Source organism: Homo sapiens, chromosome 2 (genome assembly GCF_000001405.40).
Source record: "Homo sapiens chromosome 2, GRCh38.p14 Primary Assembly".
Classification (NCBI taxonomy): Eukaryota; Metazoa; Chordata; class Mammalia; order Primates; family Hominidae; genus Homo; species Homo sapiens.
Genome location: NC_000002.12, coordinates 127,289,859 through 127,308,497, shown reverse-complemented (window position 1 = coordinate 127,308,497; position 18,639 = coordinate 127,289,859). Strand labels below are relative to the sequence as shown.

Here is an 18,639-nt window from a genome sequence, read left to right as displayed (position 1 = left end):
ATCTTTTGTACTTCCAAAATAGGACGTAAGAATTGCGAAGATTAACACTATATTAATTGTGCCTTATTGAGGCTTATAATTGACTAAATAGTTAGAATCCTTGAACCTGTCCTCCATTCTTTAGGAAGGATTTTGTCGTGAGCAAACCTCAGCATTAAAAAGCTTTTTGCTATTACAGAAGTAAATAAATAGTTACTTTGTTTGTCTAAAGACCTTTAAAAGTACTTCATCTTTGTTGTCAGTGTCTTATAATTCATTTAATCTTTAATTCTTTTATAATTTTAAGTTAGAACATGAAATGGCCATTTTCTACTTCCCACCCAGAAAAGACTTTAATAGACATTCATTTTAGGCACCTGAAGGCAATTGATTTCTAATGCTTATATTCTTTGTAAGATAAAGACAAAAATTATTTTTAAAATCAGGTTAGAAATTATATAAAACAAAAATAATAAGATGAATAATGTTCTTTGCCCAACCGTTTGAATTAAGTGATAGTCATTAAATTTATTTTAATTGATTTTTATGTTTAAATTAGTTTTACGAAATTAGAACTTTTTAATGAAACTTTGAACTTGAAATTAAGTCATATTTAAATATATATGGACTTAATGCCTGTTTCTCATTTTCTAGCTAACTAGCTTTCTTTCATGTTGTTGTTTGTGTAATGTATTTCTTTTTGTTTCTTTTCAGGAGTGTTGCATGTACTGTGGTAGAAATGCTAACTGAAAAGCCGCCTTGGGCTGAATTTGAAGCAATGGCTGCCATCTTTAAAATCGCCACTCAGCCAACAAACCCAAAGCTGCCACCTCATGTCTCAGACTATACTCGAGATTTCCTCAAACGGATTTTTGTAGAGGCCAAACTGAGACCTTCAGCTGATGAACTCTTAAGGCACATGTTTGTGCATTATCACTAGCAGCCAGTAACCTCTCCTGTGCCTCTACCTAGCTCCCATCTATTCATTCACCTTCTCTCTGACTGCACTTTTCTTTTTTATAAAAAAAGAGAGATGGGGGAGAAAAAAGACAAGAGGGAAAGTATTTCTCTTGATTCTTGGTTAAATTTGTTTAATAATAATAATATCCTAAATTTTTTATATTTAATCTTTTTTTCCCTTACAAGAACTTGAAGTTTTTTTTTTTAATTTTTATAATGTACTGATGTGGTTCAGAGAGATAAAGCACTTTAGTACATAGTCACTCTTTTTAGTACAAACAAATCATTTGGAATACCTAAAGATTGTAGAGTCATTCCCTCTATCACTGACACATCAGTGACGATGGGAAGACATGGAAAACAAGGAGAAGAAAATGATGTATAATTTGTAGTTTTTAGTGATAGTATTTAAAATATATCCTCATTTGTGGGGTTGAGCCCTAAACTTTAGTTTAGGGTAGGTACTCAACTTAAAGAATATAGGTTTCTTCTTATATCTGTATTCTTTAGATCCTAACCTCTGTCTACCAACCTTTTTGCTCAGTAGGAGTCTTGATAGAAGATATGAATCTCTGAGAGGTATGTTTATTTGTTAATCCTAACCAGTATAATAAGCAAATACACTATAATAGATCCACGTTACTGGAATCTGTAAACCTTGAGGGATAGCTTTCTGCTTAAAAACACACACACACACACACACACACACACGGAAAACCTTTATTTTAAAGTCAAGTTGTGAGCAAATAGAAATAAAAGACAAAAGGACATCACTCTTATCAAATGTGTGAGCAGTAGAAGAGACCACATTTACAGTCAATAGAAATAATGAAAAAAAATTAGGTGTTTAGTGTATTTTAAACAGTTTTGTTTTGTTTTACTTGAGGGGGACGTCCCAAAATTAAAGGAATGGAGAAATAATCAAAATCATGTATACCATCTTCTATTTCCAGCTCCTGATTCCCCATAGGTAACATCCCTTAGGAGCGAAGAGTTCAATTAGTAATGTTTATGTGTTATGTCAGGAGATGAAACCCTTGTTCTTAGGATCACAGAATACTAAAGCACCTCAAAAAAACAGGTATCATGTGAAACAGTGGTTGCCAAAAGTGGAGCGAGGATGATTTCACTAGGCATTTGGCAATTCTTAGAGACATTTCCGGTTGTCACAATTGGAGGGATACTAGTAACATGAATTGGGTAGAGGCCAGGGATGTTGCTAAATAGATTATAATACACAAGGAAAGCAGCCTCAAAGAATTACCCCTCCCAAAATGTCAGAAGTGCTGAGGCTGAGAAACCCTGATGTAAAGATCAGTCCCAGTTATAAACTGAAAACAGCTATTTACAAAGCAGTAAATGCAAGAAAGAAAAGGAAGTCGCAAAGAGAAAGTGATGTAATGCAAATTGAGGATTTTACAAGATCAGATACTGCTGCTTTAAGTCAAGGGTGAATAATCTCAACAAACAGCAAATAGCAATCACTTTACCAGCTGCATATTGCACCCACATAGGTAACTCTTCATTTTAGGAACAAACTGAATTTGAACACTGAGCCTTTTGAACTCAGCCATCTCTATATATTCTTTCCTTAAAATTCATGATTTTGGGCAAAAAAAAAAAAAAAAGCATATCAAAACAAAATTTTAACTACTAATGGGAAGGTTAAAAAGCTGCCACGTATTTCTAGTACAATGTATCCAATAAGAGCAAGGACATTGTTAAATGGAACAAGACAGCTGGGAAAGGCCCCACTATCTCTAATAGAATTGTGCTACTATAAAACATGAAGATATCAGCAATTTGGCCACTTGCAGTTTTTTTCAGCATGTTAAAGCAAGTGCTAAGTACTTTATTAGTACTTTATTTAGTACTTTATTTTAAAGGTCTAGAAAACAACAGTCTTCCTGGAGGCCCCAGAATCCCTTTCATGGGATTCATAAGGGACTCAGGTATTCTTATTTTCTGCCAAAAGGTGTGCTTATTTAGGGACTCTTTTACGATACTTTGTTTCTGAAGTTAGGTAGATCTTGGTTTACTGTGCCAAGGTCCTACCTAGCATTCCCTGTAGGAATATTTGAAATTCCACTAGCTAGTCTAAGAAGTCAAAGCACAAAATTAATTGTCAACGCTTCTCTCATATTCTTAAAATTGAAGCAGTTTGCAGGGAAGAACAAGAATGAGGTGTCCCTGCCTTGGTAAAGCAACTGCCAAATTTTGTTCTAGAAAGAATCCCCAAGTGTGTGGATCTATTATAATTTCTTTATCTTTTATGAATGAGGGCATCTTTTCTACTTGAGCAAGATCATGGTCCTTGACCAGTGGGCTTTTCCTTCATATCTGTCTTGTGTAGTTGTGCTTTTCCTTTGGCTCGTTTTTGGTCTGTCAGGGTAACCAGCAGTGCACAATATGAGACAAATGCTCTTTAGAGAGAAATCTGGTGAGACTGTAGAACCCAGAGCAAAACTGTTTTTTTTTCAGTCTCTGTTTTCTTTTCTAAATGCTATAGAAAATAAAGGCACCTGAAAAGAAACTACTACTTTAACACTGCTGTGGAAGGCCTTTGCTTTATAAGAAAAATATTATTAGCTATGGGAAAGTAATGTTCTTTATGTAAAGACTTAAAAATAGACTAATAGTTTACAGAGTTATTATATAAAATACGATGTGAATTTATTTCAAACAAGTTGTGAAGGTACCAAAAACCACAATAAAAGTTAATATATATAAAAACTACTAGAACAAAAAAGCTTGAAGGTGTGGGGGTGGAGGGTATGGAAGACCAAAAGTAAATTTAAAAAAGAAATTTTTGAAAGGAAACAGCTTTATCAGGGGAAGTTAAATATAACACTCCGTTTTTTTCTTCTTTCTAATAATGATATGGATCAACAAATGCAATTTGAACTTTTTAAGATAACTCTAAATGTGTTTTGTTTCTTAAATGCACAATTGATTCTTCTATACTGTAATGCTTCTTTGCTGACGCTGGAAAATGGTCAGACTGCTGACTTTGTGCCTTTAAAATGCATTCTGCTTTGACAGTGGCAGACTTTTTGGTGCTGGAGAAGATTCACTAGCAGTCTTATATGTGCTTTTCAGGAAATATCTTTCTACTTAAGGCCTTGAGAGATTCAAAGTGGCATGACTTAGGCTTGGACCAAATATAAGATCTTTTACATTGCAAACAAAATGTTGTATTGAATAAAAGGGTTAAAAAAATCATAATGACTAGTGGAAATTTTGATGGGTTGTTAATTATTTAAAATGTATTTGAAAGTATACAGACTGAAAATTTCAGTATGAATATCTTGAAAATTTTCAGCACTTTTCCTTGTTTACAAAACATCTTTCTAACTTAAAAAAATGACTATTGCCTTAGAAAGTTTTAAAAGGCACAGTTACCCTTACATAACATATATAAGGAATTAAAATATTAATGCATTTGCTGAACTGTAAAAGAAAATTTTAAACCTTGATTTCAGAGTGAATTGGATTGGCTTTCACTTGAGAGAGTCTTTACCTTATTCCCAAAGAAACTGCATTAAAAAGATGAAACTATTTCTTTAGACTAAGTCTCTGCTACTCCAGCTCATATATATGTCAGATCTGCTCTGTAGTATTTCTGACATGGAGTTGTTATAAGATATGTGAAATCACTTAGAAAATAAAATCAGATGTGAATAGTTTAGCAGGATGACCAAGCCAGATGCAGACTCCTTGGCCTATGGCAAAGTTCTGTGCCAGTGATTTTATTTGGAGTCTGGGAACTGATAGCTTGATATAAAATCACCTGGTGTCAATTAAATATACAAATCTATCTTTTTTAATAGAATGAATCTTCTTTGTTTGTTCAATAATTGTAACTTATTATGTCAGGTACTAAATTAACATCCTTAAGGAGGTCACAATCTAGGAGGAACATGGGCAAACAGTTACTTATTTTATGGCATACGCTAACTCTGAAAGTTCAGCAATGATGTTTTAAAATGTTATTTTTTATTAAGGGAAAAGCAATTTTAGGTAATCATTGGCTGTTATAAACGGAAATGTCACTGACAACAGGGATTAGAGTAAAAGTATCTCCAAACTAGAGGGATCCCCTCCCCAACCAGGTCACATAGCATCTCTCTCAGGACCCCCTCTTACTGCAAAACCCAGCCTCTACTCAACAGTTCTGGTGATGGGGAGCATTTATTCCATAACAGTGTTTTTTTGTTCTTTTTTTTTTTTTTCCCCAGTGTCTCTTTTAAAGAAAACATACTTTATTTTGGTCTAAATTGTGAAAATACCCAAAACATTTGATAGAAATTGAACTCTGTCAACAGTGTTATTTATACTAAGATCAGGACAGTTCCTTGAGATCATACTGTTTTATTACTAAGTTTGGCCTTTGTTTTACAAATGTAATGTTCATATTTATTTGAATTTTAAGATTGGTTAAATGTTAATGAAAAGCAATCCAATTGTTAATTTTTAGTAGTGCCTTTTCTCTGTATGCCTTAATTTTATTTTATATTAATAATTCAAGTTACCCACCAAAATGAAGATTTTTTCCAAAATCAGTAGGCTTCACAAGTTCATTTGGCCTTAGACTGTGTATTGGTCCTTAAATGTTTCTTAATGCCTGCCTCCTCCTACCCTTTTCTACCTCCTTTTTAAAAAAATAAATAAATAAATAAATAAATGTTAGGAGAGAAACATTAGGATTTGTCTGTGATAGACATGCTGCAGCTTCCACTAGACATGAATTCCCAACACAAGCATAGAAAGAGGTATTCTCGTTCTAAAGAGACATGTAAATGTTTTCTGGGTTGAATATTTGATTTTCAATCACATTGGCACTGTCCAAGTTCTTGGCATATTATAGTTCAGTTATGATTTTCATGGTAGAGTTACAATACTTGTTTTTGCCCTAAAGAAGTCATTCACATGGTTTACAAATGTTAAGGCAATGAGATAGGACAGTGAGTAGGAAATCCAGGGATAGCAGATTCTAGTCCTTAATTCTCAGCTAACATTTTGGGTAATACTCACAGAAAAGTTACTTTTCTGTGAAGTGTGTGCATGTGTGCATGTATGTGTGCGTTTGCATGCATGTGTGTGTGTGTGTGTGTGTGGTTAGAGTTGGAGGCAGGGATGGGAAGGAAGAAGGGGAAAGGTATGAGTGTTCAATTAGGTCAGTTTCTGGTTTTGGAAGAACAACTCAAATGTATGACCTACTGATGACATACAGTGAGTGTAGTCATCCTTGGGTAGGAACACCAGTACATTTTCCAGAAGTAGCTAGTACAAATGATTGTATAATAATATTGATTGTAAATTGCCATACTCTTGGTTGCTAAAGGTAGATTAAAATTCAATTTGTGTATATGTAAAATAATCTTATATATAATTCTTAAATAGAAAGTAATTGATTTTACATAGTTCTTCCTGAACTTTTTGGAACTGAAATTCTGCCAAACATTATCAAAATAAGCTTCCTTAGCTTACCAAGTATTCACAAGGAAATTCTCTTGTACCTCTTTTTGGTTGGCTAGGGGAAGCATGCTGTGAAGCAGCTATTCCTACTTATAGTTGTCTTTGGCTTGGCTTTGACTTCTGCCATGGTTTGGACAGGATGCCATGGTAGGTGTGGGAAGTATCAGGGCCTCCCATCTTCCCATACTCACCTTCCAGAGCTGTTGATGGAAATGAGCTCTTGGGGGAGCCTAGAGATTCTTTTTTCAGTGGTCCTGTAAGCATTCAAGGTTGAGCTTCAGAAAGATGAGGGAGGAGTCATAGCTACAGTAAAGAAAAGAATAGATTTTATCTGTTGCCTGTATACAGTCTCATAGAATTCTTATTTTTCATAATTGTGCATTTTAATTGATAGTCATATGGTATTTTTGTTAATAACAGCAAAGGCATTAAATCAGTACCATTGTTCCTTCTGCCTGATGACTTCTTGTTTGTAACACAATCTGTATTATCAGAATCACTTTAAACCAAAGCTTTTATATTCCCTGTACACATAGCCAAAATAATTAGCACTGTTACTTCTGTCCACTTGTAAGCTAATAGTATAAAAATTATAAAGCAGATACTAGTAGAATTTGTATTCTGGTATATCCTTCAAGGAAAAGGACAGGTGATCAGTGCATTTAGACATCCAGAAGTTACTTCCACTATTGAGGAACTATGTAGACATGAATTTAAGCTTGTACATGTGCCAATCTTGTTAATGTCACTTGACCACTGATTCACATAGACAGACATTAACGTCTGATGCCTCAGGTTGATGGCGAACTTTCTTCCTAGTGTCTTAACATTTATGAACTTATGTTTGACTTGAGGGGCATTTCAGCAAAGCTGTGAGGAAAAGTAGGTTCTGGACTGATGTCTGCTTTGTGCCATAGACATTTTGGAACATAAGGAAGTATCTGCTTCTACTATATGTACAGGACTTGTCCCCAAATAATTTCTGAATCCCTTAATGCAGTTGAGAATCCCTTAATGCAGTTGAGAACAGTAAAGTTCATGACCATACCGAAAAGCACTTTTAAGTTCACTTCTTTTTAAATATTTTTTTAGAATTTATTTTTTAAAAGCATATGTAACTAGTGATGATTTTAGCATTAGCTTTACTTGGAGGGGAGAAGAAACAAAATTACACCTTAAACTCTATTAGATAGACTACAAAATGGATTTGATGTATTCTTACTTTTCCAAAGAATTTTTTCCACCTGGAATAAGAAGAGAGGACTAGTTGAAACATTTGAGCTGGAGAGGCTTATGGGCAATATGAAGTGGGCCAAATTCTTGCAATACACCCTATTCAATTGAAAGTACAGTGTCTAAGGATAAGAATACTTCTTTAAAGACCAACAATTGTTTTAATGCAATCTTAATTAGTAAATGGTTTACATTTTTTCTATTGTTATTGGTTTTAAAATTTGCTACCCTGAATTCTGAAATATTATAAGAGTTAATACCAAAAATACTTTTAATGTCTGACATCTCTTACATTTCACATGGTTCTTTTTATTCATTGTAAATAAAAGTAAACTTGGATAAATTTGAGAATAAACTTTGAATTGTTGCAAACTATGATTATCAATTTGTAAATTTACCCTTTGACATAATAATGTACATTTTTAAATGTAGCCATTAAATTCTCTATATTTAACCTATTGGTTTCTCTCTAAATGTTTTTAATCTCAGTTGAATGCTGGGCAGTTTATAATTATGTACAAAGGGTTTTTTTCCTATTAAGATTGACATTTTTGCACATTTTTGGAAATGTTTAATTTGTACACTGATTTACTACTCTGACCAATAATTGTTGATGAGTGTATGAGCATCATGAATGCGTGCATTGAACTACTGTCTGTGTCTTTATGTTTTAACTTCTTTCAAGATGTAGCCATCAGTTACTGCACTGCTATTACTGACTTAAATGGACCTTTTTGCTTTTACAAACTATACTTATCTATGGTTCTTTGTTGAAGAACTCAGGAGTTCGACATTAATAGAAATTAGAAAATTTTATAATGTATTATAAAATCCATTACTAAGTTGAAAGTATGCTTTTAACTGTGTATCAGGGGATGTATGTTTGTGTGGAGATGTTTTTTTCTGTCTGTAGGCACATGTATATATCCCAGTAAGTTCTTATTTTCATTTCATTTCTACATTTTTATGAACTTGTTTTATAAGGGTACTGTTTAGTTGTGATAATTAAATATATATAAAAGCTTTCTGAGAGATTATTTACTATATGAATATATTTTCAGCTGGCTGATCAAAAGTATTTTTAAAATTTTGTTTTTAGCCATTCAAAATGTATTTGTATTTTCAGAATTGAATGCAAGTCATACTTAGAGCTCAATTAAAATACTCTTGCAAGAAAAAGCATTAAATTCTCTTTGAGAATTCCGTGAAATGCAAATTAAGGGAAAAATAGGTTTTAAGCAGTAGCAAAAACACACCGCTAAAAATGGCCTTTGAATTCTCAGAGCTATGGAAAAATGTGAGAAACTAAATTGTCTCGAGATGTCAAGATTTTTCTATCTCCAGTTGCTATTGGCCTGTCCTACTGTTGTCTTTGAATATTTCCTGTATTCCACCCCAAAAGATTTCAACTTTTAGTTTTTCTATCACTGGGCAAGGTCAGACTGGGTTTATAAAACAATATATTGGCATATTGTGATTCTTTGTAATTGACTATAAATTGGTTTTGAAATGTCCAAACATACGTTGTGTGTCTTTATATTGTACTGTGTGTTTTAAGTAACTGGCAGAAAAAGAATTGGAAATGAAATTTCCAATCAGACAATGTAGTATTAAAGAAAACTTTGTTTTAAATATGCGGTACCATGTAAAATTACTCGTGTTAGGAATAAAGTCCACTGTTGAAGTTGAATGTCACTAAGCTTATTATGTTAAAAGGAACCAGTGTGATTAGGAAAACCTACCAGAAGCCAGATACAGTGTGGTACGTGCAACATTTCATGCACATTTTGATTTTGTTTGTCATTCAAAATTGTGCTTGTAAAAATGTATACAATTTCTGAGTTTTATAATTTCTAGGTACTTGTTTTTTCTTGCTGGTAAATAGCTTTTTTTTAAAAAAAAATCTAATATAAAAGAAACCATGTTTATATTTTGTTAGTGATCAATGACTTTGTTTATATGGAAATTTGTATATTGTTGGCACACATTTTGTTGAGGTTTACGTGCATGAAGGCCTGCAATAATTAGCACAATGAAAACTGCTTTTTCTTACATGTTCATTTTTTTGAAAGATTGTGGTGCAAAGGCTTACTCTAATAAGTAACCTTCTGGACTATGGAATGAATATAAATGAATGGCACTTTGAGTGTTAATAAAGCTAATATTTATTTCCACTGTGATTGGTTTTTCCAAATCTATTCTTGGACACATTTTATTTACAGTTATTCCCTCCTTGCTTGAGTTGAGCACTCTCTAGGAAACCAAGCGCAGACAAATCTAAAAACAATGAAACTAAACCAAATCTTTCCAGTATCTAAGTCTATAATGTTCCACCCAACTTGTAGTATATCTTTGGCTGGACATCTTGATTACCTAAATCAGAACTAATGATTAAAAACAAACACAAACCCTACTATCAAACCTACTGAGTATAAGGAATGGTCTCTCACATGGTGCTGGAGATTATTTATTTATTTATTTATTTATTTTGAGACAGAGTCTTGCTCTGTCGCCCAGGCTGGAGTGCAGTGGCATGATCTCGGCTCACTGCAAGCTCTGCCTCCCGCGTTCAGGCCATTCTCCTGCCTCGGTATCCTGAGTAGCTGGGACTACAGGCACCTGCCACCATGCCCAGCTAATTTTATTTGTATTTTTAGTGGAGACAGGGTTTCACCATATTAGCCAGGATGGTCTTGATCTCCTGACCTCGTGATCCATCCGCCTCGGCCTCCCAAAGTGCTGGGATTACAGGCGTGAGCCACTGCGCCTGGCGGAGATAATTTAATACTTTGGTATAGAGGGCAACTTAACACAACCTCAGAATTGAAACCTCAGAATCAGAATCAGAAACCTCAGAATTGGCCGGGCATGGTGATCCCAGCACTTTGGGAGGCCGAGGTGGGTGGACCACTTGAACTCAGGAGTTTGAGACCAGCCTGGGCAACATGGTAAAACCCTGTTTCTACAAATAATACAAAAATCAGCCACGTGTGGTGGTGCATGCCTGTGGTCCCAGCTACCCAGGAGGCTGAGGTGGGTGGGTCGCTTCAGCCTGGGAGACAGAGGTTGCAGTGAGCTGAGATTGCACCACTGCACTGCAGTCTTCATGACAGAACGAGACCCTGTCTTAAATTTCAGAACCTTGTATATCCTCTGACCCACCAATTTATACCTAGGAATTAACCTGTGGAAATAGATTGTGAATGTTTTAAGTTGTATCTATAAAAGCCCAAACTTAAAACTCTAAATGTCCAACAATAGGGGCTATTGTAACAAAGTACCACACATTAGGTGGCTTATAATAAAAAATTTATTGTCTCACAGTTACGGAGGCTAGAAGTCAGAAATCAAGGTGTGGGCAGGACCATGCTCCTTCTGACACCCATAAGGGAATCTTTCCTTGCCTCTTCCAACTTATTTTTATATATTAGAAATTGGGTCTCACTATGTTGCCCAGGTTGGCCTCATACTTCTGGGCTCCCACCTCAGCCTCCCAAGTAGCTGGGACTACATGTGCTCCATGGCGTTGTGTCCAGCTGCCTCTTCCAACTTCTGATAGCATCCCTTGGTTTGTGGCAGCATAAATCCGATCTCTGCTTCCATCAGCACGTGGTGCTTTTTGTGTGTCTATTGACACAAGTGTGTGTGCTCCCCTTTTTATAAGGAGACCAGTTACTGGATTAGGCCCACCCTAATGACCTAATTTTAACTTGATTACCTCTATAAAGACCCTGTTTCCAAATAAGGCCATACTCTGAGGTAGTAGGGGTTAGGACTTCAAAATATCTTTTTGGGTCAGGCACAGTGGCTCATGCCTGTAATCCCAGCACTTGGGGGGCCAAGGCGATGGACAACTTAAGTCCAGCAGTTCAAGACCAGCCTGGGCAACATGGTGAAACCCCGTCTGTACAAAAAAATACAAAAAGCCAGGCATGGTGGCATGCCTGTAATCTCAGCTACTTGGGAGGCTGAGGAGGGAGGATCACTTGAGCCCAGGAGGTTGAGGCTGCAGTGAGCCCAGATCGCACCACTGCACTCCAGTCTCGGCAACAGCAAGACCCCGTCTCAAAAAAAATAACTTTTTGAGGGGTGGGGGACACAATTCAACCCATAGTCTGTCCTCTGGCCCCTACAAGTTCATATCCTTCCCACATGCAAAGTACATTCACCCCATCTCAACATCAACAAAAGTCAGTCATTCTAGCATCAACTCAAAGTCCAGTATCATCTAAATATCAGTTCAAATCTCATCACCCAAATCATCCACATCAATTGACTCTGGGTTAGGTTTCCTGTTGGAGCAAATTTTCTTTCTATCTATGAACCCATGAGAACAGACAAGTTATCTGCTTCCAATTACAATGGTATAGGCAGAGGATAGACACATTCCATTCCAAAAGGGAGAAATGGGAAGGAAAAAGACTTGGAGGTGCCAAGAAAGTCTGACACCTAACAGGGCCAATGACAGGATTTTAAGGCTTGAGAATAATCCTCACTGGCTTGATCCTCTGTCCTCAGGGCCCACTGGGGTTGCAGCCCCGCACCCTCAGAACTGAGGAGGTGGTGGCCGTGGGTTCAAACCCAAGCCTGTCCCTTTCAGTCCTGTGGTGGCGGAAGCAGCCTCACTGGCCTCTGAACTGCCCCTGCCAATCCCTTTCCTACCTGTGGAATCCTGGGAGTCCAACAGCCTTCCTTCATTTCATCCCATCTATGTACCCTAGTCAAAACTGTCCAGGTTTCTGTGGAGATGGGTGATTGGGTCTATAAGCCACACACCTAATCTCTTGCAAATAAATGGTTGTCCACATCCTTAGTGTTTCTCCAGAGCATACTTTCTCTCTCTCTTTTTTTTTTTTTTTTTTTTTTTTTTTTTTTTTTTTACAATGTGAGTATAAGAATGATCCAAATCTTCAAGTTCTGGTTCCTTTTTGTTGAATAATTCCACCTTCAGTGTATCTCTTCTCACATTTCACTATAAGCAATAAGGAGAAAGCAGGCCTCAGTTTTTTTTTTTTTTTTTTTTGAGACGGAGTCTTGCTCTGTTGCCCAGGCTGGAGTGCAGTGGCGTGATCTCTGCTCACTGCAACTTCTGCCTCCTGAGTTCAAGAGATCCTCCTGCCTCAGCCTCCTGAGCAGCTGAGACTACAGGCGCGCGACACCACGCCCAGCTAATTTTTGTATTTTTAGTAGAGACGGGGATTCACCATATTGGCCAGGCTGGTATTGAACTCCTGACCTTATGATCCCCTGCCTCGGCCTCCCAAAGTGCTGGGATTACAGGCGTGAGCCACCGCGCCTGGCCCAGGCCTCACTTTGAACCATCATGTAGAAATTTCCTCAGCAAAATGTCCAAGCTTATCACTTATAAGTTCTACTTTCCACCCAACAGAATACAATTCAGGCAAGCTCTCTACCACTTGCCTCCAGTTTCAATAACATATTTCTCCTTTCCATCTGAGCCGTCACCAGAATCACCTTTAATGCCCATACTTCTACCAAGGCTCTTCAAGACAATAGAGGCTTTTCTATCATGCGCCTCAAAATTCTTTCAGCCTCTACCGATTACCCAATTTGAAAACCACTTCCCCATTGTTAGGTATTTGTTACAGCAGTACCCTATTCCCCGTACCAAAAATCTGTGTTACGTTCTCCAGAGAAACAGAACCAAGAGGCCCACTGAGCAAGCGAGATTGATTGATTGATTTTAAAGAATTGGCTCATGCAATTGTGGGGGTTGGCAAGTTGGGAATTCAGGTACGAGTTGATGTTGTAGTTTTGAGTCCAAAGGCTGGAAACTCAGTCAGAACTTTCTGTGTTGCAGTCTGGAGGCAGAATTCCTTTTTCCTTGAGAAACCTGTCTTTGCTCTTAAGGCCTTCAACTGATTTGGATGAGGCCCACCCGCATTATTGAGGGTAATCTGCTTTATTTAGGCTGAGACATGAGAATGGCATGAACCCGGGAGGCGGAGCTTGCAGTGAGCTGAAATCGCGCCACTGCATTCCAGCCTGGGCGACAGGGCGAGACTCCGTCTCAAAAAAAAAAAAAAAAAAAAGAAAAAAATTTTTTTTGAGACGAACTCTCGGCCTGTCGCCCAGGCTGTAGTGCAGTGGTGCAATCTCAGCTCAGTGCAGCCTTTACCTTCTGGGTTCAAGAGATTCTCCCATCTCAGCCTCCCAAGTAGCTTAGACTACAGGCGTGTGCCACCATGCCTGGCTACTTTTTTTTGTATTTTTCGCAGAGATGGGGTTTCACCATGTTGGCCAGGCTGGCCTCGAACTCCTGACCTCAAGTGATCCACCCACCTCAGCCTCCCAAAGTGCTGGAATTACAGGCGTGAGCCACCGTGCTCAGCCAAATTTTTTTTAATTAAAAAAAAGAATTCTTCCTTACCCATGGACTCAGGTCACATTCTCTCTCTCTCTCTCTCACACACACATTTATTGCCCACATGGCTTCATTAAAATTTAAGTTCCAGAAGGATGAGGCCTTTAATTCGCGCACTACACAGGTGCTCAACACACAGTATTTTCCTTCAGTTGTAGAGAAATGAACAGTGGAGGACCCCCGCCGCTGGGTCGCACGAGCTAACAGATCGGCGGTCGCTGGCTCTCCGCTCTTCCAGCCACCCACATCACGGCGCCTAGAGGCGGGACATCCTGTGTGGACAACAGGGAGCTTCCGGATTGAGCCGGAAGTCCCCCCAGAGCGGATGCCGCGGCGGGCCTGTGGGAGCGGGGTCATCTTCTCTCTGCTGCTGTAGCTGCCATGGGCAAAAGAGACCGAGCGGACCGCGGTGAGACGTTGCGCGGGCACGCTCAGCCACGACTGCCCTTGCCGGCCCTGCCCCCCGCTCTGCCTCGGAGCTGCTCCGGGCCTCTGCGCCGGCCGACCCTGCTGGCCCTCCCGCGCGCACCCCGTTGGGACAGGCCTTTGGGCGGGAGAGATGCTGGACCTGGGCGCAGCCCAGCGAACTCGGCCTAGGGGAGACGGGTGAGGGGCGCAACGCCTGCGGGATGCAGGTGGCTCTTAGCTAGGAGTTTGCGGCGGCGCAGGTGAAATGCTGCCAAGCGGTGCGGAGGGAACCCTGAAGGCTCCTGCTGGGCTTACTTCTGTGTTGGTATCTTGCAGACAAGAAGAAATCCAGGAAGCGGCACTATGAGGATGAAGAGGATGATGAAGAGGACGCCCCGGGGAACGACCCTCAGGAAGCGGTTCCCTCGGCGGCGGGGAAGCAGGTGGATGAGTCAGGCACCAAAGTGGATGAATATGGAGCCAAGGACTACAGGCTGCAAATGCCGCTGAAGGACGACCACACCTCCAGGCCCCTCTGGGTGGTAAGCATGCCCTTAGCTTGGGCAGGGCCCAGGAGTGTGCGGAGCGGCAGCTAAATCTTGGGCATCCTCAGAGTCAAAACTGACATTCAGGATACTGCCCCTAGAACTGGCCGGGAGAGAATTTTCATCCACACACGTTGGAACAGCCCAAGGCAACAGCGAGCAGTTGCGCACACGTGTGGCGGCCGGACCTGGGCTTCCAACAGCTCTAACCCCTCGGTTTACTCTCACTCCTTCCCCAGCCCTACCCCATGTAGTGAATCCTTTTATCTGCCGAATAAATAGCATTTATCATGTAACAGTTTGTTTCCTCAAATAATGGAAGACATGTTCGGTAGCAAGCTTTTGCTCTACTTTAAATAATTAATGTTATACATTTAGTTGAAATCTAGCCAAAAGGTAACTTGAGGATAGCCAGTAAGATGGGCTTTCTCTGTGCAGAATAGTAGGAAACAGCTGTTGACTTTGGAAACACTTTCTTCTATTTTTCTTTACTCTTCTGTATCTGATTAATGTAACAGGCCCCACAGTTGTCTGAAGGAGTGCTTGCAAGAATATCTGTGGTGTTGGGCAGCTTATTCTTTCTTGATAATGATATGGGCAAGAGCCCAGTAGTCTCTGCAACTCATGTTTCCTTGTCTGTTTTGTCCATTTGGTATCTCTCAGGCTCCCGATGGCCATATCTTCTTGGAAGCCTTCTCTCCAGTTTACAAATATGCCCAAGACTTCTTGGTGGCTATTGCAGAGCCAGTGTGCCGACCAACCCATGTGCATGAGTACAAACTAACTGCCTACTCCTTGTATGCAGCTGTCAGCGTTGGGCTGCAAACCAGTGACATCACCGAGTACCTCAGGAAGCTCAGCAAGACTGGAGTCCCTGATGGAATTATGCAGTTTATTAAGGCAAGTGACAGCTGAGACCAGCAATTCCACCTGCCCTGCTAATGTAACAATAGGCATAGGTGCTCCATGTTGTCAGCCTGTGGCAGCCATGAGAATGTGCCATTCAGATTTCCTGTGGGGAGCATAACGACTGATTACCCCAGCCGCTACACTCTGGATCCAGCATTGTGTTCTGGGTGAGGCCATGCTTCTCATGAGCCGCTACACTCTGGATCCAGCATTGTGTTCTGGGTGAGGCCACGCTTCTCATGAGCCGCTCCCAGCTGTGGGTATTAACACAGAGGGGCTACTAATTCAGGCCCATTGTAGCCAGGGAGAATTTGGAAATGCAGCCCAAAGTGAGTGTGCTGGGGACTGAATTGTGTGTGTTCCCCTCAAATTTTGTCTTCAAAACCTAATATCCAATGGTAATGTATTTGGAGTAAGAAAGTAGTTAAGACTAAATGAGGTCGTGATCCGCTATGATTAGTGTCCTCCTAAGAAGAGACACCGGAGCATGCTTTCTCTCACCTGCCCTTCTTGTCATGTGAGTACACAATGGGAAGGTGGTCCATAGACAAGAGCCTTCACCAGAAACTGAATCGGCTGATACCTTGATCATAGACTTTCAGCCTCCACAGCTCTGAGAAAATACAGTTCTAATGTTGAAGCCACCCAGTCTGGAATTTTATTATGGCAGCCCAAGCTGACTAACACAGGTGGTAAACTCTGTCTAAAGCTAAGTATCTGCAGGAGACCAATAGTCAACAAGTTCCATGAGGGAAAGTCAAAAACAACTTCAGATGTTTTTGACAAAACAAAGAGGGTTCCATGTGATTAATAGTTGAACATGCTAGGTTTCTTCTGCGAGATGGGTGAATGCCATTTAAAAGAGATGGACAGTGGCTTTCATTGCCTTTGGCTGATCCAAAAGGAGTCAGATTCAGACCTTGGGATCTGGAGTGGCAGAAGAGTGCCACAGGAATTCAGTATGGTACTGCAGCCAGTCCCAGAGAAGCTGCAGGAGTCCTGGAGAGAACTCTCTTTTCCTGTGATGTGAAAGCGTGCCCGGCCAGGTGCAGTGGCTCACTCCTGTAATCCCAGCACTTTGGGTGGCTGAGGTGGGTGGACCACCTGGGGTCAGGAGTTCAAGACCAGCCTGGCCAACATGGCGAAATTCCTGTCTCTACTAAAAATACAAAAATTCGCCAGGCATGGTGGTGGGTGCCTGTAATCCCAGCTACTCAGGAGGCTGAGGCAGGACAATCACTTGAACCCGGGCGGCAGAGGTTGAAGTGAGCTGAGATCTCACCATTCATTGCACTCCAGCCTGGGCAACAGAGTGAGACTCCGCCTCAGAACAACAACAAAAAAGAAAGCGTGCCCAAGGAGAGGACCTTGTACCAACACTGTGGCTCTGCCTGGTCTTGGCTGCGAATTGCCTGCAGGGATGTAGGTGTTGGTGCACTGTAGTGGTGGATCAGGGACAACAGCGGGGATAGGCAGCCCCTCAAAGTCTGACTGGCAAATTTTTTTTTTCTTTTTTTTTGAGACGGAGTCTTGCTCTGTCGCCCAGGCTGGATAGCAGTGGCATGATCTTGGCTCACTGCAACCTCTACCTCCCAGGCTCAAGCAGTTCTCCTGCCTCAGCCTCCCAAGTAGCTGGGATTATAGGCGCCCGTCACCATGCCCGGCTAATTTTTATATTTTTAGTAGAGATGGGGTTTCACCATGTTGGCCAGGCTGGTCTCGAACTCCTGACCTCAGGTGATCCACCTGGCTCGGCCTCCCAAAGTGCTAGGATTACAGGTGTGAGCCACCGTGCCTGGCCTGAGTGGCAAATTTTTATTGTTGCCACACAGCCTCTACTGTATTCCTTCCTAAAGGTGGTTGGGAACCTGGGAGGATTTAAGCTGTATTCTCTGCCATCAAGATGCTTACATTCTATTTGGGGAAATAGGAGCATTGGTGAAGAGGCTTTGCATTTTATTTAAGCCGCAATTACTGTGCACATACTCTGTGGAGTTGTAGTAATACTGGTGTGGTCTTCTCTAGACTAGGGTGGGGGCTGTGGGAATAGAGAGGAAAGGCAGAATGCAAGATTTTAAGCAGCGTTTTATAACTTAATGGATATGCATCAGAATTACCCAGGCAAGAGGAAGATTTTGTTCTCAGAAAGCAGAGGCCAATGGAAAAAGCTCAGTTTAGGCACATCTGACCACTTTAGGATTGCAAGTTGGGTTTCCCTAAAGTAAAATGAACTTTTCACTTGGTTGGTAGGTGTAAGATGTGACCAGTAATGAATGTGTTCTGAGTTAGCTGCACATTTACCTGTTGGATGTTATCTGTATTTGCAGTTGTGTACTGTCAGCTATGGAAAAGTCAAGCTGGTCTTGAAGCACAACAGGTAAGAGATTCCATGACAGGCCTGTCCCAAGGCACTGTCACTTTCTGCGCACCAGCAGGAATAAAGGGATATGGGAAGGACCTGATGTTTATGCTGTCTTTTCTGTGAAGCACAGATAAGAGAAGAGAAACAAGAGATGTGGCCCAGACTGGAAACTCATCCACTGGCCACTGTATTTCCTCTAGCAGTGGAGCTGGGCTCAGGCCCCTGCCTACTTGACCTCAAAGTCACAACCCTCATATGTTAAATCATGGCCGGCAGCTCATGGTACAGATTTGGCGAAGGGTTGTGGGGAGAGTCATGAGGCTTGTATTTCCAGACCATCTAATTGAATGAGCAGTGGAATCTCCAGGAGGTACCTGCTG

General features: G+C 40.3%; 2 protein-coding genes across 11 annotated transcripts in view; both read left to right on the top strand.

Annotated features, from left to right (window-relative positions):
- Positions 1 to 9,830, top strand: part of MAP3K2 (mitogen-activated protein kinase kinase kinase 2) — an 89,798-nt gene extending 79,968 nt beyond the window's left edge. For all 6 annotated transcript variants that reach the window (NM_001371911.1, NM_001371910.2, XM_047442990.1 and 3 more), the window contains one exon: positions 694 to 9,830. In NM_001371911.1, the coding sequence (NP_001358840.1) occupies positions 694 to 919 (226 nt within the window). In that variant the 3' untranslated portion in view covers positions 920 to 9,830. The remainder of the gene's footprint in view (positions 1 to 693) is intronic.
- Positions 14,354 to 18,639, top strand: part of ERCC3 (ERCC excision repair 3, TFIIH core complex helicase subunit) — a 36,855-nt gene continuing 32,569 nt past the window's right edge. For 2 of the 5 annotated variants that reach the window (NM_000122.2, XM_011510794.3), the window contains exons 1-4: positions 14,354 to 14,444; positions 14,780 to 14,985; positions 15,652 to 15,888; positions 18,225 to 18,274. In NM_000122.2, coding sequence (NP_000113.1) covers positions 14,417 to 14,444; positions 14,780 to 14,985; positions 15,652 to 15,888; positions 18,225 to 18,274 — 521 coding nt within the window. In that variant the 5' untranslated portion in view covers positions 14,354 to 14,416. Of the gene's footprint in view, positions 14,704 to 14,779; positions 14,986 to 15,651; positions 15,889 to 18,224; positions 18,275 to 18,639 lie in introns of those variants that run through there. The other 3 variants (NM_001303416.2, NM_001303418.2, XM_011510795.2) reach the window with 3 other exon arrangements.